Source organism: Homo sapiens, chromosome 19 (assembly GCF_000001405.40).
Source record: "Homo sapiens chromosome 19, GRCh38.p14 Primary Assembly".
Classification (NCBI taxonomy): domain Eukaryota; kingdom Metazoa; phylum Chordata; class Mammalia; order Primates; family Hominidae; genus Homo; species Homo sapiens.
Window position 1 is genome coordinate 58,540,714 of NC_000019.10, and position 18,142 is coordinate 58,558,855.

The following is an 18,142-nucleotide window of genomic DNA, read 5'->3' on the forward strand; positions in this document are numbered from 1 at the left end:
GATTTTCCCCACACAAACCCTACTTTCCTCCTCAGACAGGATTCTCTCCACACAGACCCTGCTTCCCTCAGACAGGATTCTCCCCACACAGACCCTGCTTCCCTCCTCAGGCAGGATTCTCCCCACACAGACCCTGCTTCCCTCCTCAGACAGGATTCTCCCCACACAGACCCTGCTTCCCTCCTCAGACAGGATTCTCCCCACACAGACCCTGCTTCCCTCCTCAGACAGGATTCTCACCCCACACACCCTGCTTCCCTCCTCAGACAGGATTCTCCCCACACACACCCTGCTTCCCTCCTCAGACAGGATTCTCCCCCCACACACCCTGCTTCCCTCCTCAGACAGGATGCTCCCCACACACACCCTGCTTCCTTCCTCAGACAGGATTCTCCCCCCACACACCCTGCTTCCCTCCTCAGACAGGATTCTCCCCCCACACACCCTGCTTCCCTCCTCAGACAGGAAGCTCCCCCCACACACCCTGCTTCCCTCCTCATACAGGATTCTCCCCACACACACCCTGCTTCCCTCCTCAGACAGGATTCTCCCCACACAGACCCTGCTTCCCTCCTCAGACAGGATTCTCCCCCCACACCCTGCTTCCCTCCTCAGACAGGATTCTCCCCCCACACACCCTGCTTCCCTCCTCAGACAGGATTCTCCCCACACACACCCTGCTTCCCTCCTCAGACAGGGCTCCCCCCACACACCCTGCTTCCCTCCTCAGACAGGATTCTCCCCCCACACACCCTGCTTCCCTCCTCAGACAGGATTCTCTCCACACACACCCTGCTTCCCTCCTCAGACAGGATTCTCCCCACACACACCCTGCTTCCCTCCTCAGACAGGATTCTCCCCACAGAGACCCTGCTTCCCTCCTCAGACAGGATTCTCCTCACACACACCCTGCTTCCCTCCTCAGACAGGATTCTCCCCACACACACCCTGCTTCCCTCCTCAGACAGGATTCTCCCCACACACACCCTGCTTCCCTCCTCAGACAGGATTCTCCCCACACACACCCCGCTTCCCTCAGACAGGATTCTCCCCACACAGACCCTGCTTCCCTCCTCAGACAGGATTTTCCCCACACACACCCTGCTTCCCTCCTCAGACAGGATTCTCCCCACACAGACCCTGCTTCCCTCCTCAGACAGGGCTCCCCTCCCCACACAGACCCTCTTTCCCTCAGACAGGATTTTCCCCACACAAACCCTACTTTCCTCCTCAGACAGGATTCTCCCCACACAGACCCTGCTTCCCTCAGACAGGATTCTCCCCACACAGACCCTGCTTCCCTCCTCAGGCAGGATTCTCCCCACACAGACCCTGCTTCCCTCCTCAGACAGGATTCTCCCCACACAGACCCTGCTTCCCTCCTCAGACAGGATTCTCCCCACACAGACCCTGCTTCCCTCCTCAGACAGGATTCTCACCCCACACACCCTGCTTCCCTCCTCAGACAGGATTCTCCCCACACACACCCTGCTTCCCTCCTCAGACAGGATTCTCCCCACACAGACCCTGCTTCCCTCCTCAGACAGGGATTCCCCTCCCCACACAGACCCTCTTTCCCTCAGACAGGATTTTCCCCCCACACACCCTGCTTCCCTCCTCAGACAGGATTCTCCCCACATACACCCTGCTTCCCTCCTCAGACAGGATTCTCCCCACACACACCCTGCTTCCCTCCTCAGACAGGATTCTCCCCACACAGACCCTGCTTCCCTCCTCAGACAGGGCTCCCCTCCCCACACAGACCCTCTTTCCCTCAGACAGGATTTTCCCCACACACACCCTACTTTCCTCCTCAGACAGGATTCTCCCCACACAGACCCTGCTTCCCTCAGACAGGATTCTCCCCACTCAGACCCTGCTTCCCTCCTCAGGCAGGATTCTCCCCACACAGAACCTGCTTCCCTCCTCAGACAGGATTCTCCCCACACACACCCTGCTTCCCTCCTCAGACAGGATTCTCCCCACACACACCCTGCTTCCCTCCTCAGACAGGATTCTCCCCACACAGACGCTGCTTCCCTCCTCAGACAGGATTCTCCCCACACAGACCCTGCTTCCCTCCTCAGACAGGGTTCCCCTCCGCACACACACCCTCTTTCCCTCAGACAGGATTTTCCCCACACAAACCCTACTTTCCACCTCAGACAGGATTCTCCCCACATGGACCTGCTTCCTTCCCTCCTTGGGATTCCCCACTGTTGAGGTTCAGTTTCCCCATCTGGAAAAGCATCAAAGTCAGGGTAGCTGCTGACGAAAACATGGGGAGGGGATGCCTTGGGGGGCTGGGTGGGATTTCACAGACTCATTGCTCTTTAGCCTCTTGTGATTTATATATATGTGTATATATATATATATATTTTTTTTCTTGATGGGGGGTTGGGGGGCCCGGCGTGGTGGCTCACACCTGTAATTCCAGCACTTTGGGAGGCCAAAGTGGGTCTATCATCTGACGTCGGGAGTTCGAGACCAGCCTGGCCAACGTGGTGAAACCCCGTCTCTATTAAAAATACAAAAATTAGCCAGGCGTGATGGCAGGCCCCTGTAATCCCAGCTACTCGGGAGGCTGAGGCAGAAGAATCGCTTGAACCCGGGAGGCGGAGGTTGCAGCGAGCCGAGATCGTGCCACTGCACTCCAGCCTGGGCAACAGAGCAAAACTCCGTCTCAAAACAAACACAAAAACCTTTCTCTCCTCTTTTGAGATGGAGTTTCACTCTTTTCTCCCAGGCTGTAGTGCAATGGCACGATCTCGGCTCACTGCAACCTCCGCCTCCCGGGTTCAAGCGATTCTCCTGCCTCAGCCTCCCGAGTAGCTGGGATTACAGGCGCCTGCCACCACGCCCGGCTACTTTTTGTACTTTTAGTAGAGACGGGGTTTCACCACGTTGGCCAGGCTGCTCTCGAACTCCTGACTTAAGATCCAACCGCCTCGACCTCCCAAAGTGCTGGAATTACAGGCGTGAGCCGCCGCGCCCGGCCACATTTTTCTCCATCTGTGGTCTAGGCTGGCGTGCAGTGGCACAATCCCGCCTCACTGCTGCCTCGGCCTCCTGGGCTAAACGGAGCTTCCCGACTCGCCTAAGAAAGTGGTGGGATTACAGGTATGAGCCACGGCGCCCGGCTGTGATCTACATTTGATTCAGTCAAGTTTCTGTGTTTCTCAAGTTTAACTATAGCGTGGTTAAAATCCAAAAGTCAGCACCCGAGCTCACACAGGAGCTTCCTCCCTCTTGGGATGGAGACTCTCCTCCCCTCTCCCTGGACACAGCCCTTCACTCGGTCTTGGCCCCGCCTACTTCTCCATCGGCCCTGCCCCCTATCCCGAACTCTTAGTGACGCAGAGGCTGGAGACGACTCTACGGCGGCGAAGAGACGCGGGTTGAGGAAGAGGGACGGATTGCCCATGCGCTTGGGCGCACAGCGGCCCGCTTCTGTGTGGTCTGGAGGTGGAGCTGAGAGGGGAATCACACTCTATAAAGGTTCGCATACCCCACTGGCGGATTCAATTGCGGCAGTGACGTCACAGAGGCCCCGCCCCGCCCCCACAAGAGCCCCACCGACGTGGGGTTGGCGGTGGTGGAAGGACTAGGAGTTGGCGCGTGCGTACTGGCGGCCTCTCCCGCACCGACCGGCCTGGGCCCCGCCCCCGGGCGTGAGGCGCCCAATGCGCGTGCGCGGCGGCGTCGGCGCCAGTTATTTCTGTCCCGCCCCCCGGCCTCGGCTCTTTCTGCGAGCGGGCGCGCGGGCGAGCGGTTGTGCTTGTGCTTGTGGCGCGTGGTGCGGGTTTCGGCGGCGGCTGAGGAAGAAGCGCGGGCGGCGCCTTCGGGAGGCGAGCAGGCAGCAGTTGGCCGTGCCGTAGCAGCGTCCCGCGCGCGGCGGGCAGCGGCCCAGGAGGCGCGTGGCGGCGCTCGGCCTCGCGGCGGCGGCGGCGGCAGCGGCCCAGCAGTTGGCGGCGAGCGCGTCTGCGCCTGCGCGGCGGGCCCCGCGCCCCTCCTCCCCCCCTGGGCGCCCCCGGCGGCGTGTGAATGGCGGCCTCCGCGGCGGCAGCCTCGGCAGCAGCGGCCTCGGCCGCCTCTGGCAGCCCGGGCCCGGGCGAGGGCTCCGCTGGCGGCGAAAAGCGCTCCACCGCCCCTTCGGCCGCAGCCTCGGCCTCTGCCTCAGCCGCGGCGTCGTCGCCCGCGGGGGGCGGCGCCGAGGCGCTGGAGCTGCTGGAGCACTGCGGCGTGTGCAGAGAGCGCCTGCGACCCGAGAGGGAGCCCCGCCTGCTGCCCTGTTTGCACTCGGCCTGTAGTGCCTGCTTAGGGCCCGCGGCCCCCGCCGCCGCCAACAGCTCGGGGGACGGCGGGGCGGCGGGCGACGGCACCGGTAAGTACGAAGTGATCGGTGCCACCCCTCCCCCTACTCTCTGCCTTTGATTCCGACTGGGTGCAGAGATGAGGATGCCACCTGGGCGAGAGGATGGGGGCCCGGACAGGGCACGGGAAATACTTTCTGGGTCCTGCATACGAACGTGGGTTTGTGCTGGCCGCTGAGATGGGACATCTGACTAAAGTTGGAGAAAAGAAGGCTCGGGGAGGGGAGGGGCTGGTTCGCTGCGGGATAATGGTCGGGGGCCCACCCAGCAGGGGAATGGTGGGGGCCATAACCTGGGTGGGAACTTGTAACAGTCTCCCACATCCCTGCTTCTCGAAGTGGTGGACTGTCCCGTGTGCAAGCAACAGTGCTTCTCCAAAGACATCGTGGAGAATTATTTCATGCGTGATAGTGGCAGCAAGGCTGCCACCGACGCCCAGGATGCGAACCAGGTGCGTCCTATCTCAGCAACCACAAGGAGGTTTCTGGGGAGGGGGCATCTGCGCAGGAGGAGCTTGGCACCAGCTCCAGGCTGTTACTCCACTTTCCCAAGGCTCTGGGTGGGCTGCCTAGGTTGGGTCAAGGGACCAATCTTAAATCTCCGGTTGTATTTTCTGGGATGTAAACGTGGATCTATCAAGTTGTCTTGCCTTCTCTGACCCTGCCTTTGTCTGGCAGTGCTGCACTAGCTGTGAGGATAATGCCCCAGCCACCAGCTACTGTGTGGAGTGCTCGGAGCCTCTGTGTGAGACCTGTGTAGAGGCGCACCAGCGGGTGAAGTACACCAAGGACCATACTGTGCGCTCTACTGGTACATGAGGCTGAGGGGGGCTGTTGGAGTTGTTCTCCCATGTGTGCCCTCAGTTGCTTTTATGATGTTGGTTGCATCTGGTGGATGGGTCCTAGAGTTCTCTAGGGGGTGCCGCCCGAAGGGCCCGAGGGCAGAACTCCAGAAGCAGAAAAACTGGGGTTGTGGTGTGTAGTCTCTAGGGCCTAGGTGGGAGAGGGTGGGAAGGGGAAATAAGGGAGACCTTAATGTGCTGCAGGGAGGTACAAAGGGTTTGAGAAGGCTTATCAGGGAGTTGTCAGACCTGGTGGTGAAGGGCTCAGCATATGCAAACAGGGAAAGGCATGGTGTGAAGGGCTTTCTGGGTTTGTGGTTCCCTGGCACACATCTGGTATAAGATGCTGCTAGGGAAAGTAGACTGTGGGTCCATGGATTATAAGTGATGATGATTTTTGGAAGTGTTTTAGCTTTTGAGTTGGCAGAGACTTACCCAAAGTTTGGTTTGGCATTTCCAGCTTTTCACAGACACAGCTAGCTTTGGTTTGGAAGGAGCTTGAGAGTCTTTTGAGTCTAGCCAAGTTTTGGGGCCAGAATCCTCCCATGAGTGGCCTTTTGGTAGCCATACTGTGATTCTTCCCATCCCAGAGGACAGCATTGGTGGAAGATAGCGGGAAGGTGGTGGCTGTGGGGCCTGAGCAGCCAGGAGGGATACGCAGGGGCTGCAGGGTGTCCTACATTCCAGACGTCCCAGGCAAAGGTCAGGGTGCAGGAATGAGTGGCATTGGGGAAGTCAGTTTCCCCAATGAGCCCTGATGCTACATATTTTGGATTTGGTTGGTATGTGGGACCAGTGTGTTTGATCAGTTTTCTAATGGGGAGACAGGCTTTGGAGGTTATTAATGGGTTGGTCTTTGGGTGGGATTATGCTGAGCACCAAGATTCTGCTCTAGAGGGGGTGTGACCACCATTCTGAGGGTCCTGGTTTGACATTTCATCTCTCCCAGTATGAGAACCTCTACAAGGTTTCCTCTGGGCCCTTGGATTGTAAGAGACCCTGGTGTTCTCTTGTCAGGGAAGAGGGAGGAAGTTAACCATGAAAGGAGAAGAAAAGGAATCCAGGGTGGTGTGTAGGCAGAATTCTGAGTATGTCCACTTGGAGAAGTGTTCAGTAAAGGGAACAGTGTGGGGAAGGGTCAGCGGGGGTGGGGGGTGGGGTGGGGTGGTCCTCTTTTTCTAGACGCTGTTATCCTTACCCTTACATTGTTGTTATCTCTAGAAGCTAGAAGAAAGGGATGTGTTTCTCAGCTATGTTGGGGCAGAGGATTCTGGGAGCAAGGAGTTGGGCTTGCAGGCCTGTGTTCTTCCCTGGCCACACCCTCTACATCTTCCCAATAAATGGCCCAGTGTCACAGAACAGGCCGGAAATGAGGCCCCAACTCATTCTGCTTCCTGAGTTGGGGGTGGTGAAGGGCAAGGTCCAGCCTTATGATTCCCACTCCCCAGGGCCAGCCAAGTCTCGGGATGGTGAACGTACTGTCTATTGCAACGTACACAAGCATGAACCCCTTGTGCTGTTTTGTGAGAGCTGTGATACTCTCACCTGCCGAGACTGCCAGCTCAATGCCCACAAGGACCACCAGTGAGTCCCAAGGCATAGTGGTTGGGTGGGTGGGTGCCACCCCTTCCGTAGCTTAGTGCTCAGGAACACATCTGTCTGCTCTCAGGTACCAGTTCTTAGAGGATGCAGTGAGGAACCAGCGCAAGCTCCTGGCCTCACTGGTGAAGCGCCTTGGGGACAAACATGCAACATTGCAGAAGAGCACCAAGGAGGTTCGCAGCTCGTAAGTGTGGGTTCTGGGGCTGTGGGGGTGGCCCAGGGCAGCAAGACCCTACCTAGCCTGACCTGCTGTGTCCCCTAGAATCCGCCAGGTGTCTGACGTACAGAAGCGTGTGCAAGTGGATGTCAAGATGGCCATCCTGCAGATCATGAAGGAGCTGAATAAGCGGGGCCGTGTGCTGGTCAATGATGCCCAGGTAAGCCTTGTGCCGGTGAGAAGGGTCCCTGAGCCCCCTCTGCTGATTGATGATGCTGTCTGGGGTGAGGAGTGATCCTAGTATTCTTCTGCCTTCTCTGCTTACCTCATACACCTTCTATCTGCAGAAGGTGACTGAGGGGCAGCAGGAGCGCCTGGAGCGGCAGCACTGGACCATGACCAAGATCCAGAAGCACCAGGAGCACATTCTGCGCTTTGCCTCTTGGGCTCTGGAGAGTGACAACAACACAGCCCTTTTGCTTTCTAAGAAGTTGGTGTGTACTGGTGGGCTCCTGGCTGGTGGGTTCCAGGCAGGTGGTTCCCAATACCTCAAATCCCTATTTGTTGTTGGTGTGCTCATTCTTTCCTCCCTTTCACTCCCAACCAGATCTACTTCCAGCTGCACCGGGCCCTCAAGATGATTGTGGATCCCGTGGAGCCACATGGCGAGATGAAGTTTCAGTGGGACCTCAATGCCTGGACCAAGAGTGCCGAGGCCTTTGGTGGGTCCCCAGCTTTACCTCACTCTGTTATTACCCCACGTGCTGCACCTACTTACGTTTCTCTCTTCTTTTTGCAGGCAAGATTGTGGCAGAGCGTCCTGGCACTAACTCAACAGGCCCTGCACCCATGGCCCCTCCAAGAGCCCCAGGGCCCCTGAGCAAGCAGGGCTCTGGCAGCAGCCAGGTGAGCAGGAGAGAGGACCCAGGAAGGGGTGGGCAGGGAATGGGGTCCAGTAGCAGGAGAGAGGACCCAGGCAGGGGGGGTGGGCAGGGAATGGGGTCCAGTAGGGTTCCTGTCCCACTGAGGCAGAGGGTTCTGCTTTGTTCACAGCCCATGGAGGTGCAGGAAGGCTATGGCTTTGGGTCAGGTGAGTGGGTCTGCCTAGTGGGTGGGGAAGGGCCCCAGTGCTGTTTCTACCCCAACCTGCCAGTCTTCTTTCTCCATTTTCTAAGGAGATGATCCCTACTCAAGTGCAGAGCCCCATGTGTCAGGTGTGAAACGGTAAGTATGGCACCTCCCCTGGGGGTGAGGTGGATGGAGGGTGGGGGTGTACTCATGCCAGGTTGCTGCATCTACAGGTCCCGCTCAGGTGAGGGCGAGGTGAGCGGCCTTATGCGCAAGGTGCCACGAGTGAGCCTTGAACGCCTGGACCTGGACCTCACAGCTGACAGCCAGCCACCCGTCTTCAAGGTCTTCCCAGGCAGTACCACTGAGGACTACAACCTTATTGTTATTGAACGTGGCGCTGCCGCTGCAGCTACCGGCCAGCCAGGGACTGCGCCTGCAGGAACCCCTGGTGCCCCACCCCTGGCTGGCATGGCCATTGTCAAGGTAAGCCTGTCCCAAGGAACTATAGCTGTAGGATGAAGCCTGTAGTCCAGGTCTGGACCCTGTTGAACACCCCTCATCACCACCTTGCAGGAGGAGGAGACGGAGGCTGCCATTGGAGCCCCTCCTACTGCCACTGAGGGCCCTGAGACCAAACCTGTGCTTATGGCTCTTGCGGAGGGTCCTGGTGCTGAGGGTCCCCGCCTGGCCTCACCTAGTGGCAGCACCAGCTCAGGGCTGGAGGTGGTGGCTCCTGAGGGTACCTCAGCCCCAGGTGGTGGCCCGGGAACCCTGGATGACAGTGCCACCATTTGCCGTGTCTGCCAGAAGCCAGGCGATCTGGTTATGTGCAACCAGTGTGAGTTTTGTTTCCACCTGGACTGTCACCTGCCGGCCCTGCAGGATGTACCAGGGTGAGTGTGAGGCTGGTGGGGGTCAAGTCTGGGTGTTGGGCTGTCTGGACAGGATCATGTGCAGACCCTTATTTTCTTCACCCTAGGGAGGAGTGGAGCTGCTCACTCTGCCATGTGCTCCCTGACCTGAAGGAGGAGGATGGCAGCCTCAGCCTGGATGGTGCAGACAGCACTGGCGTGGTGGCCAAGCTCTCACCAGCCAACCAGCGGGTGAGGGCTGGGGTTACTTAGGTGGGGTTGCCCAGAGAGGCTTTATAGGTGCTGCCCAGAGCTGTGACATCCCTTACAATGTTTGTAGAAATGTGAGCGTGTACTGCTGGCCCTATTCTGTCACGAACCCTGCCGCCCCCTGCATCAGCTGGCTACCGACTCCACCTTCTCCCTGGTGAGTCCTAGGATGGGAAAGGGGAAGGGGGTGGTGGCTGCTGGGTCTCGCCCTCAACCTGTGCATGTATATGTGTGTCTTTGTGTGTGTATGTGTGATCTCTGCCTGCAGGACCAGCCCGGTGGCACCCTGGATCTGACCCTGATCCGTGCCCGCCTCCAGGAGAAGTTGTCACCTCCCTACAGCTCCCCACAGGAGTTTGCCCAGGATGTGGGCCGCATGTTCAAGCAATTCAACAAGTTAACTGAGGTGAGCCAGTGGAATGGAGAGGCTGTGGGCAGGGGGAGATGTGAAGGAAAGAACTAGGACCCATTCATCCACTGCATTCCTGCTTGGCCCAGGACAAGGCAGACGTGCAGTCCATCATCGGCCTGCAGCGCTTCTTCGAGACGCGCATGAACGAGGCCTTCGGTGACACCAAGTTCTCTGCTGTGCTGGTGGAGCCCCCGCCGATGAGCCTGCCTGGTGCTGGCCTGAGTTCCCAGGAGCTGTCTGGTGGCCCTGGTGATGGCCCCTGAGGCTGGAGCCCCCATGGCCAGCCCAGCCTGGCTCTGTTCTCTGTCCTGTCACCCCATCCCCACTCCCCTGGTGGCCTGACTCCCACTCCCTGGTGGCCCCATCCCCCAGTTCCTCACGATATGGTTTTTACTTCTGTGGATTTAATAAAAACTTCACCAGTTCCTCAGGCGTTGGCTGGTTGGGGGACTGTGGTCCTGGGGCCTGGTTTATTGACTGTATCTACTAGTCAGCCTTATCAAGCACTGGTGGCACAAGGGAGGGGGGTCTTGTCCCCCACCTATCGAAGCCCATGTGTATGGATGCCTAGGGAGTGGGGAAGACTGCCTCCTTGCCCTTTCTGGGTATGGGGAGGGTCACCCAGGGCAAAGGATGTACACACTAGAGGCTTGTTGGGTACCCTGTGGGATACTGGGTAGGTGTGACCTACATCCCTGTGTAGGCAGGGTTAGCCCCAGGTGTAGCACAGCCACTCTACTGAATGCTTCCTAAATTTTGGTGCTGTAGCTGTTTCTCATCTTCAGAAGGTCCCACAGTGAACTGAGACCTTCCAGATGTGGTTTTTTTCCCTGTCTCCCTTTGCTGAGTCCACTTAACATTATCATTCATCTCTGTGTTATGATTTAGTTACTCTACAGTCGAGCCTGTGTGAATCCCAAGGCCACCCCCTTGCCTCTATTGGTTGGTCTGGACTGTCCTTGAGTGTTGTCATTAAACCATCACTGGACCAAACAGTGTTGGACACTACAGCCTGGCAGATGAGGCCTGGACTCTCAAGATCCTACCAGGGTGTTTGGGCAGTCCAGTATCTTGGGAGAGGTGATGGAGAAGGGCCCACAGCTCACCTGAAGCTCCCAGCTCCTGAAAATCCCAGGTGGACTTTGCTTGTTCACCCCTGCCCCAAACCCCCACCCTTAGCTTAGTACCAAGTGCCTCTTGCCTTAGTGATGCCCATCCTCCCAGGGACCCCAGTCTGGTCCCACATCAGGCCAAAAGTCACATGGGCCTGGAGACTAGTGTCAAATCTCTTTTATTACAGAGGGGTTGTGGTAAAAGATCCTGGGCATCCACTGGTTATCTCGGAGTGGCAGGGGCACTCAGTCCCTCCGCAGGTTCTTAAGCCGTTCCTCCAGGTCTGCATCAGCATCAGCTAGGGCTGAGGCTGCGGCCTCTGCTTTTTTCCCACCAGCAGCCACACTAAGCGAGCCCCCAGTTGAGGGGAGGTCTGCAGAGAAAGTGGGGGTTTGAGCAGGTGGGGTCAGGCAGCGGAGGGGAGTAATGCAGGGAAAGGGAGGGCTTGGAGCTGTGGCTGGGCCTTGGGTGGGAAATGGGGTCCAGGATTTGGAGCACTCACTCGACAGCTCATCTGTTAGGCTAAGTCCCAGCTCATCCAGAACCTGGGACACCACAGCATCACTAGGGAAGAGAGAGAACTCAGTGAGGGCTATGCACTCCGTGAGGGCCAGGCAAACATCTCCACCCTCCCATCCAGTTTCCCCATACCTCTCCTCTTCATCTTCCTCATCACCCATGGCATCATCAATGGCATCATTCATCATCTCCTCCTTCATATCCATGATCTCTGCCTGCCGCTCAAACTCCATCATGATCTTCTGGATCTGGGGCAACTTCAGCTGGAAGTGACAGGAGTGTGAGTGTGATCCCCATGGGTCGTGGGAGTGGGAAGGGGGATTGGGAAAAGCGCACCTGTCTGTTCATGGTGCCCATGGCCTTGGTGACACCCTTCATGGCTTGTGCCATCGAGTTGTTGGACTTGAGTGTCTGGATCTTGAGGGACACAGCCTGGATGTTGGCCCGCATCAATACAAACTTGCGCACATAGCGCCGGGTGCGCACCAAGTCTTTTGCCATGATGCGAACAGCATCCTGCAGAGTAGACAAGGGTATCAAGGACACAGGAATGAGATTATCCTACACTTCTTGACACCCCATTAGTTGGTTGTCCCTCCCCACCAGCCCAATTTGCAATTCCACTTGAAGTTTCCAGAGACTCTGGCTAACCCAATGGTCACTGGTCCCTCCCTCCTTCTGACCTAACCCTCCTCTGCCTCTTGGGCCACCAACTCCCTGGGCTCCTTTGTAAGGTCCTCCTCACTTCTCTTGATCTGTAAATGGTAAAAGAAAGGCCCCAGGCTCACTCCTGAGGGTTCCTTTTCCCTCCATGTTTTCAGTCATTCTTTTGACTTACAACAGCCATTCCTCAATTTTTATTCCCAGCCTAGACAAAGAATCTGTCTCTTCCTTCACCTGATACAAACCCATACCTCGAACTATCCAGAATCACATACAGACCTATCTGAGGCTCAGCTTTTGATTTCCTCTCCAAACATCTTTCTTGCCCATCCCAAGAAATGGTATCTTCTCTGCCTACCTGTTCAGGCCAAAACCCTCTCACCCATCAAAGGCTGTGTTCCTTCTTCATGCTCTCCCTACTGGTTCCGGCTGTCTCTTACCAGCCTCTTGGCCATAGCTTATAGCTTACCCTTACCTTTTTTTTTTTTTTGAGTTGGAGTCTTGCTTTGTTGCCTAGGCTGGAGTGCAGTGGCACAATCTTGGCTCACTGCAAACTGTGCCTCCCGGCCTCAAGCGATTCTTCTGCCTCAGCCTCTCGAATAGCTGGGATAACAAGTATGCACCACCATGCCCGGCTAATTTTTGGTAGAGTGGGGTTTTGCCATGTTGGCCAGGCTGGTCTCGAAATCCTGACCTCAGGTGATCCACCCACCTCAGCCTCCCAAAGTGCTGGGATTACAGGCTTGAGCCATCATGCCGGGCCAGCTTATCCTTATAGTTAACTGGTTTTTTTTTTTTTTTTTGAGACAGAGTCTCGCTCTGTCACCCAGGCTGGAGTGCAGTGGCATGATCTTGGCTCACTGTAACCTCCGCCTCCTGGGTTCAAGAGATTGTCCTGCCTCAGCCCTGCTGAGTAGCTGGGATTACAGGCGTGCGCCACCATGCCTGGCTAGTTTTTTTTATTTTCAGTAGAGACGGGGTTACTCTGTGTTGGTCAGGCTGGTCTCGAAGTCCTGACCTCAGGTGATCCAACCACCTCTGCCTCCCAAAGTGCTGGGATTACAGGTCTCTGAGCTACTGCGCCCGGCCCTGTAATCCCTAACCTTCCAACTTAGCTCCCACTTTGGCCCAGAGTTCTGAATTGTCTGGTCCATGCCCAACTCTTGAAGCTCACCTGTCATCTCCCATTTTTTTGAGGCTCTTTTTTAACATTTGCTGCTCTGTCTGCTTAACACATTCCCTGCCCAGATCTGTAGGCTCACTCTCATCACTCAAGCCTTGGATCTCATACCAGTTCCTTGGAGGCAGCCTTCCAGACCCTCAAACTAGGGAAGCCCTGCTGACCTTTCACTCCACTCGTTTTGCTGAAAGCACCTGTGTTTGGTGTCTGGTCTCTCTTGTTCACTGCTGTTAGAGCCGTGCCTGATTGACAGCAACCTGCCCGACCACCCACACTCACCATCTGGCCTTGCTTGGCCATCTTCTTAATGTCTGCAATGATTTTCTTCTCCTGGGTCTCTAGTTTCTGTCGCTCGCGGTCCAGCTCCCGCATGGCACGGTTCAGGGCCCTCTGGTTCTGCCGCAGTAGCTCCTCTGGCGTCTTCCGGCGCCCGAACAATAGGTCCATGATGGTAGAAGCTCACTGGCAGGCCTGAGACAGATGTGAGTGAGGCCCAGTTGTAGGGCATGGGGCCCAGGAGGGCAAGAAGCAGAACAGGGTCACGGGAGCCTTGCCAAATGGGAAGGGGCTAACGGAGACTGGAGGCAGGAATGAGGAGCCAAAAGGGAGCAGCTGAGAACACTGGGATTGTCCCGGGGACACATAAAGGGGGACAGGTAGACCTGAAAATTATCCAAGTGCTGGCCCGAGCCCCTCCTTCATCGCCATGCCCCAAAAGAAGTTATGGCTTGCAAGTTCAGCTTCCCTCTCCAGAACTATGGGTGAGGCCCTGGAGTCCTTGATACGACTGAGAGCGGGGGATGACGCGGGCCGGTGCACTGGTGTTTTGGAGACTGTGGGCACCGAGGACAGAGCAATTGTGGGGGTTCTGATAGAGGAGGACAGGATGGGCGGAAACGCTAAGTACCAAGAACAGGTGAATGTGGGGCTGTGAAGCTCAGGACAAGGCATTAGGATTTGGGGACCCTGAATGCTGAGGGAGACGGTTGGGGGCGCTGGGGCATCCTGTACACTGAGGACGGGATGATGGAGATTCGGTCGCACTATACACCGAGGACAGTCAGTGGGCCCGGCACCAAAGCAAGGTGGTGTTGGAGACCTCGATGTTGACGACAGGGTCCCAGGGAGAAGCGAGGCACCGGACACCCGGGCGAGTAGAAGGCCTCGTACGCTGCCGCCCGCACGCCCGCCCGGGATCCACGGTCCAGCAGGGGCCACTCACCGGAGCTGGGACGGACACCCGTTTCCGCTTCCGGGTCACGCTTCTCTTTCTGGGATCCCCGACTTGCCCACCAACTAAGGCCCCTCGGTCCTGTCGCCGCCGCCGCCGTTTCCGGATTAAACGACGTGACGTAACATGCCCCGCCCGCACCCGGAAGGTTGGGAAACTCCAGGAGCGCGCGTGCGCCCGTGCCCCGGAACGGGCCAGCGTCCGAGCGCATGCGCAACAGCTCCCGTTTCCTCTGCGCGTCCGAGTGTTTCATGTTTTGAGTCCCGCCCGAGTGACCCAAGCCAGTACCGGGGTGGGCGCTTTCCACCCAACCTCCACTTGAGGACCCAGCTTATTCGTGAGACCTTGACTTCTGCCTGAGGCCTCAGATAGAAGGAGCCTCAGAAGGCTCCTCCTCCTCGGTGGGCCCACCCACACAAGAAAGGGGCAAAGCTAGAGATGGCTTGTTTCTTCCACTTTGCTGGCCTCTTGGCCAGGAAGCCACAGGTCACTGGATCCTGCCTACGCTTCTCATCCTAGAGTAGGCTTCATCCCAACCAACCCCAGGCACAGTCATGGTATCCCCACCAACTTTAGAGCTGCCCCAGGCACTGGGCAGCCTGTTGTAGGGTGCTCCAATGCCACCTGTGACCACACCTTCCACCACCCCAGCTTTGCAGGCCCTAATGGACCTCAGCTGCCCCTCCCACCCCATAGAAGTAAGAAGCAGAGGCCATGCAGTAACATTCCCCTTTAATAGCCTGGTGGGACCTCCAGAGGTGGAGGGGTGGGTTGCCTGGGCCCAGCTACCCAGGCCCGTTGCCCACCCACTCCACAGCCCAGAGTGGGGGCTGAACAAGCACCCAGCAGGGGGGCTAGACAAGCCAATTCATTTCCCATCGCTGAGTGGGTCGGGGGAGGCAGCGCCGACCTTAATCACATGGTGTTAAAAAAAAAAAAATAACTAGGGGCACGTGGCAGGAAGGGGAGGCAAGGCCAAGGCAGGGGATTCCCCCACCGGCCGCCCCCCAAACCCCTACCCATGGCCCCCAATAAATATTTGCAGGGGATGCCAGGGCTTGTGGCCGTGGCGGGGGTGGGTATGCGCCAACCCTATTTCAGGCAGCGCTCAAAGTAGGTGGAGCCGATGTAGCCACCCCGCATGGAGCGCTGCACGTTCTGCTCAAACAGCCGCCGGTTGTTCTGCAGGACCTCTGCGGCCTCCTTGTTCAGTGGGTCCTCGGGGTTGGGCTCCTGTGGCCAGTACAGGTAGGGGGGGTCAACAGGCCAGAGGGACAGAAGGCCAATCTCCCCAGACCCAACCACCTATTCCTACTCACCAAGAAGAGATACTGCAGGCCATAAATTATGGAGTTTATCGTAAGGACTGGCTTCCAGTCCTCTCTGTGGACAGAGAGCATCAGGGTCAGGGCTTGGTGAGTGGGAGACTGCCACAGGCCCCTCTGGTGTTGGGCAGGTCAGATCCAGGGCATAGGAGAGTGAGCATGTGAGAGGCTGGGAGGGAGGGTGTGGAGCAGGACAGGCCAAGGAGAAAACCAAGGTCAGGCCATGAGGAAGATGACTGGGAAATCAAGAAACCACAGACAACAAAGGGGTGGGAAGGGACAGAGTCTGATGTAGTGCCCACAAGACCATGAGGGAGGCCTGGCAGGCAGCGCTGAGGAGGGCATTAGAGGGCCAGTGTCCTCACCTGAGGATGTTGAGGCAGACGTTGCCCTCGAGGTCAATGTTGGGGTGATAGACCATTGTCTCACACTTCACCTTGGGGGGATCATGCGGGTAACCCTGGCCCACCTGGCTCCAGGAAAAGAAAAGAGAGATGGGTAGGTGCCTGGAAGGGCCTCAGCTGCTGCCTCCTCTGTCCAGGGAGCCATCCCTGCCCGCCTGGGACTCACCTTAAAACTGAACACAAACTTCCCACTCTTGTAGAAGCCCTGGGAGGAAAAGGGGGAGAAGAAAATTTTAGGGTTCCATCCTGTGGGGCCCGATGGGCAGAACATGTCTCCCTCCTCTCAGTGGGGACACCCTTGGTTTGCTCCTGGGAATTCAGCCATATGCACCCTCACCTCATCAGGACAGATGACCAGCTTGAAGTTGAGGAGGTCGTCTGGATCTGAGAAGCTGATATCACACGTCTTGGGCAGGTTCAGCTCGTTTATGTCTGGGTTTGGGTAGCAGAGAGTCGGGAACAGAAAGAGGGAGGGGAAGAGAGAGAGAGAGGGAGCCAGCAGGACACTTAGGGCGGGTGTTTGTTAGCAGAGCCCCCATCGTCTCCTCCTGGACCCCCAGGCGCCTCTCCTGGGCTGTGCTCCACACCTCCAGCCCTCTCCCTGCTCCCCAGCTTGGCTCTTGTGGATACACAGCATACCCCAAACATGCATGTTCAGCTGTGTATGCGTGTCCCAACTCCTGGCCCAGGGTGACCCCCAACTTTTCTGTATCCACAGCTCCCAAATGCCCCCACTCCCAAACATCCTCTGACCGCCCTAAACCCCAGGCTCCCCATCCATGACCTCCACTCTACAGTATCTACCTGTTCACCCAAACTCAAAGATCCTGCCCACCCCCACCAACCCTCAGTCCTCACTGTCCTTCCTCTTCTCTGTCTCTCAGACCCAGCTTTCCATGTGACCCCCACACTCTCAAGTCCCCAACCCCCGCCACCCTACCCCACCCCCTCTGACTCTGAGGTTCACAGCACAATAGCCTAAATTTCCCCTCACCCCTGTCTCCAATCCCTGGTACTCATTAACCTTCCCTCCTCCACCTGTCACCCCAAACCCCAAATTGCTGTGACTCAGGCAGGCCCATGAGTCCCTGGTCCTCCAACCTACTTCACCCGTTTGACTCAGAGATTCCCAGAGACCCCAGCATAATAAACTAAATCCTCTTCCACTCATATCCCCAACCCCTGGCCTCTACTATCCCTCTCTTCTCCGCCTGTCACCCCAAACCCAAGTTCCCGTCTAACCCCCAGACTCTCGAGTCGTCAGTTCCTCCACTCCACTGCCTGACTCTGAGATTCCGAGTCCCTAGTAGCAGACACCAGGCCTTCCTAATATCCTAAACCACCACATACCGGGCCCCTATCTCTGACCCCCTCCCCGTGACTGCATGATCCCAACCCTCAAGACTTGACCTCCGACCCCCCCCACGCTCGGGGCCCTTCACCTCTGACCCTCAGCAACCGCATTACCCCTTCCTGACTCCCACATCACCCTGCCTCAGGCCCTGACCTCCGACCTCCGGCTCCAACCCCATCCCCTGACCCCCTACCCTTCTGGATCCGCAGCTGCGCCGCCGACGCCTTCTTGCTGCTGCCCTTGGTGCCGCCCGCCGACTCCTCCTCCTTCTTCTGCTGCTTCAGCGAGAACAGCTTGATCATCCTGCCGCCGCCGCCGCCGCTGCCGCCGCCGCGGGGCCCGGGACCCCGGCCACCCGGCCCCCCGCCGCCGCCCGCGTCGCCTCCGCTCCTCGGACCCGCAGCTGCGGCCTCCTCCGCTGCTGCCGCCACCCGCCCGGCCTGCCGCGCCGCTCCGCTCCTCTCCGCGCCCACCGCGCGGCCCGCCTCGGCTCCCGTAGTCCGGCTCCGGCCTGGCCCAGCGCCTCGGACTCGCTCGGCAGCGCTCGGCCAAATTCGGCTGTTCTCGGGCCCGCCCGGCCCCGCCCCCACTGCCCGGGGCCGCTCCTTCCTTGCCCTCGCCAACTCTGGTCTCAGGCCCCGCTGCAGCTGCGGACTCGGGGCTCCCCCGACCGTGCCGTTTGGCCGCTCAGCTGATCCCTCCGCGAGGGGGTGCGGCTAGGGGTGGGAGGAGGACACGGCAGCTGCGGTGACGGCGGGCGGGTACTGGAGGATCGT

General features: G+C 58.1%; 3 protein-coding genes, 1 non-coding gene and 1 pseudogene across 7 annotated transcripts, besides 9 other annotated features; 2 read left to right on the forward strand and 3 right to left on the reverse strand.

The window, feature by feature from the left end:
- Window positions 2,526-3,030: an enhancer, noted in NCBI's record as "H3K27ac hESC enhancer chr19:59054606-59055110 (GRCh37/hg19 assembly coordinates)". NCBI's record gives its function as "activates a minimal SCP1, AML or CMV promoter by ChIP-STARR-seq in primed H9 embryonic stem cells {active_cell/tissue: H9 hESC(primed)}" and the evidence as "EXISTENCE:reporter gene assay evidence [ECO:0000049][PMID:30033119]".
- Window positions 2,586-2,865, reverse strand: RN7SL525P (RNA, 7SL, cytoplasmic 525, pseudogene; annotated as a pseudogene).
- Window positions 3,182-3,491: an enhancer, noted in NCBI's record as "active region_15208". NCBI's record gives its function as "activates an Ori minimal core promoter by ATAC-STARR-seq in GM12878 lymphoblastoid cells {active_cell/tissue: GM12878}" and the evidence as "EXISTENCE:reporter gene assay evidence [ECO:0000049][PMID:35858748]".
- TRIM28 (tripartite motif containing 28) lies at window positions 3,351-10,002 on the forward strand. Its single transcript, NM_005762.3, has 17 exons — window positions 3,351-4,384; window positions 4,712-4,824; window positions 5,051-5,183; window positions 6,663-6,798; window positions 6,884-7,000; window positions 7,079-7,193; window positions 7,321-7,467; window positions 7,581-7,695; window positions 7,773-7,879; window positions 8,027-8,063; window positions 8,149-8,197; window positions 8,275-8,527; window positions 8,618-8,937; window positions 9,024-9,147; window positions 9,236-9,322; window positions 9,434-9,571; window positions 9,664-10,002. The coding sequence occupies exons 1-17, from the start codon at window positions 4,045-4,047 to the stop codon at window positions 9,838-9,840; spliced, it is 2,508 nt and encodes an 835-aa protein (NP_005753.1). The 5' UTR covers window positions 3,351-4,044; the 3' UTR covers window positions 9,841-10,002.
- Window positions 3,612-3,821: a silencer, noted in NCBI's record as "silent region_11091". NCBI's record gives its function as "represses an Ori minimal core promoter by ATAC-STARR-seq in GM12878 lymphoblastoid cells {active_cell/tissue: GM12878}" and the evidence as "EXISTENCE:reporter gene assay evidence [ECO:0000049][PMID:35858748]".
- Window positions 3,902-4,061: a silencer, noted in NCBI's record as "silent region_11092". NCBI's record gives its function as "represses an Ori minimal core promoter by ATAC-STARR-seq in GM12878 lymphoblastoid cells {active_cell/tissue: GM12878}" and the evidence as "EXISTENCE:reporter gene assay evidence [ECO:0000049][PMID:35858748]".
- Window positions 4,082-4,371: a silencer, noted in NCBI's record as "silent region_11093". NCBI's record gives its function as "represses an Ori minimal core promoter by ATAC-STARR-seq in GM12878 lymphoblastoid cells {active_cell/tissue: GM12878}" and the evidence as "EXISTENCE:reporter gene assay evidence [ECO:0000049][PMID:35858748]".
- MIR6807 (microRNA 6807) lies at window positions 9,572-9,663 on the forward strand. Its single transcript, NR_106865.1, has one exon. It is a non-coding gene; the product is annotated as a microRNA 6807 (primary transcript).
- CHMP2A (charged multivesicular body protein 2A) lies at window positions 10,853-14,392 on the reverse strand. Of its 4 annotated transcripts, none has more exons than NM_014453.4 (6): window positions 14,275-14,392; window positions 13,332-13,523; window positions 11,546-11,725; window positions 11,342-11,472; window positions 11,193-11,254; window positions 10,853-11,063 (listed from the first exon to the last, which is right to left on the reverse strand). In NM_014453.4, exons 2-6 carry the CDS (start codon window positions 13,497-13,499, stop codon window positions 10,936-10,938), a joined length of 669 nt encoding a protein of 222 aa, NP_055268.1. In that variant the 5' UTR covers window positions 13,500-13,523; window positions 14,275-14,392; the 3' UTR covers window positions 10,853-10,935. The 4 variants fall into 4 exon arrangements, with proteins under 4 accessions (NP_055268.1, NP_940818.1, XP_005258803.1 ...); NM_198426.3 differs by having other exon boundaries at window positions 14,152-14,392; XM_005258746.3 differs by having other exon boundaries at window positions 10,853-11,254.
- Window positions 14,391-14,480: an enhancer, noted in NCBI's record as "active region_15209". NCBI's record gives its function as "activates an Ori minimal core promoter by ATAC-STARR-seq in GM12878 lymphoblastoid cells {active_cell/tissue: GM12878}" and the evidence as "EXISTENCE:reporter gene assay evidence [ECO:0000049][PMID:35858748]".
- Window positions 14,551-14,620: an enhancer, noted in NCBI's record as "active region_15210". NCBI's record gives its function as "activates an Ori minimal core promoter by ATAC-STARR-seq in GM12878 lymphoblastoid cells {active_cell/tissue: GM12878}" and the evidence as "EXISTENCE:reporter gene assay evidence [ECO:0000049][PMID:35858748]".
- Window positions 14,999-17,898, reverse strand: UBE2M (ubiquitin conjugating enzyme E2 M). Its single transcript, NM_003969.4, has 6 exons — window positions 17,560-17,898; window positions 16,350-16,444; window positions 16,179-16,217; window positions 15,974-16,077; window positions 15,603-15,666; window positions 14,999-15,516 (listed from the first exon to the last, which is right to left on the reverse strand). The coding sequence occupies exons 1-6, from the start codon at window positions 17,666-17,668 to the stop codon at window positions 15,376-15,378; spliced, it is 552 nt and encodes a 183-aa protein (NP_003960.1). The 5' UTR covers window positions 17,669-17,898; the 3' UTR covers window positions 14,999-15,375.
- Window positions 15,015-15,698: an enhancer, noted in NCBI's record as "H3K27ac-H3K4me1 hESC enhancer chr19:59067095-59067778 (GRCh37/hg19 assembly coordinates)". NCBI's record gives its function as "activates a minimal SCP1, AML or CMV promoter by ChIP-STARR-seq in primed H9 embryonic stem cells {active_cell/tissue: H9 hESC(primed)}" and the evidence as "EXISTENCE:reporter gene assay evidence [ECO:0000049][PMID:30033119]".
- Window positions 17,823-18,122: a silencer, noted in NCBI's record as "silent region_11094". NCBI's record gives its function as "represses an Ori minimal core promoter by ATAC-STARR-seq in GM12878 lymphoblastoid cells {active_cell/tissue: GM12878}" and the evidence as "EXISTENCE:reporter gene assay evidence [ECO:0000049][PMID:35858748]".

Bases quoted from the DNA above. Each gene is read 5' to 3' on its own strand.
- TRIM28 (NM_005762.3), top strand. From the start codon at position 4,045: ATGGCGGCCTCCGCGGCGGCAGCCTCGGCAGCAGCGGCCTCGGCCGCC. The intron at 4,825-5,050 runs GTGCGTCCTATC...TTTGTCTGGCAG, and splicing joins ACGCCCAGGATGCGAACCAG to TGCTGCACTAGCTGTGAGGA. The intron at 8,938-9,023 runs GTGAGTGTGAGG...TCTTCACCCTAG, and splicing joins GCCCTGCAGGATGTACCAGG to GGAGGAGTGGAGCTGCTCAC.
- CHMP2A (XM_005258746.3), bottom strand. From the start codon at position 13,499: ATGGACCTATTGTTCGGGCGCCGGAAGACGCCAGAGGAGCTACTGCGG. The intron at 11,726-13,331 runs GTGAGTGTGGGT...TCTACTCTGCAG, and splicing joins TGGCCAAGCAAGGCCAGATG to GATGCTGTTCGCATCATGGC. The intron at 11,473-11,545 runs GTGCGCTTTTCC...TGTCACTTCCAG, and splicing joins TGGGCACCATGAACAGACAG to CTGAAGTTGCCCCAGATCCA.
- UBE2M (NM_003969.4), bottom strand. From the start codon at position 17,668: ATGATCAAGCTGTTCTCGCTGAAGCAGCAGAAGAAGGAGGAGGAGTCG. The intron at 16,078-16,178 runs GTGAGTCCCAGG...TCCTGGAGCCAG, and splicing joins AGTTTGTGTTCAGTTTTAAG to GTGGGCCAGGGTTACCCGCA. The intron at 15,667-15,973 runs GTGAGGACACTG...CTCTGTCCACAG, and splicing joins GTCTGCCTCAACATCCTCAG to AGAGGACTGGAAGCCAGTCC.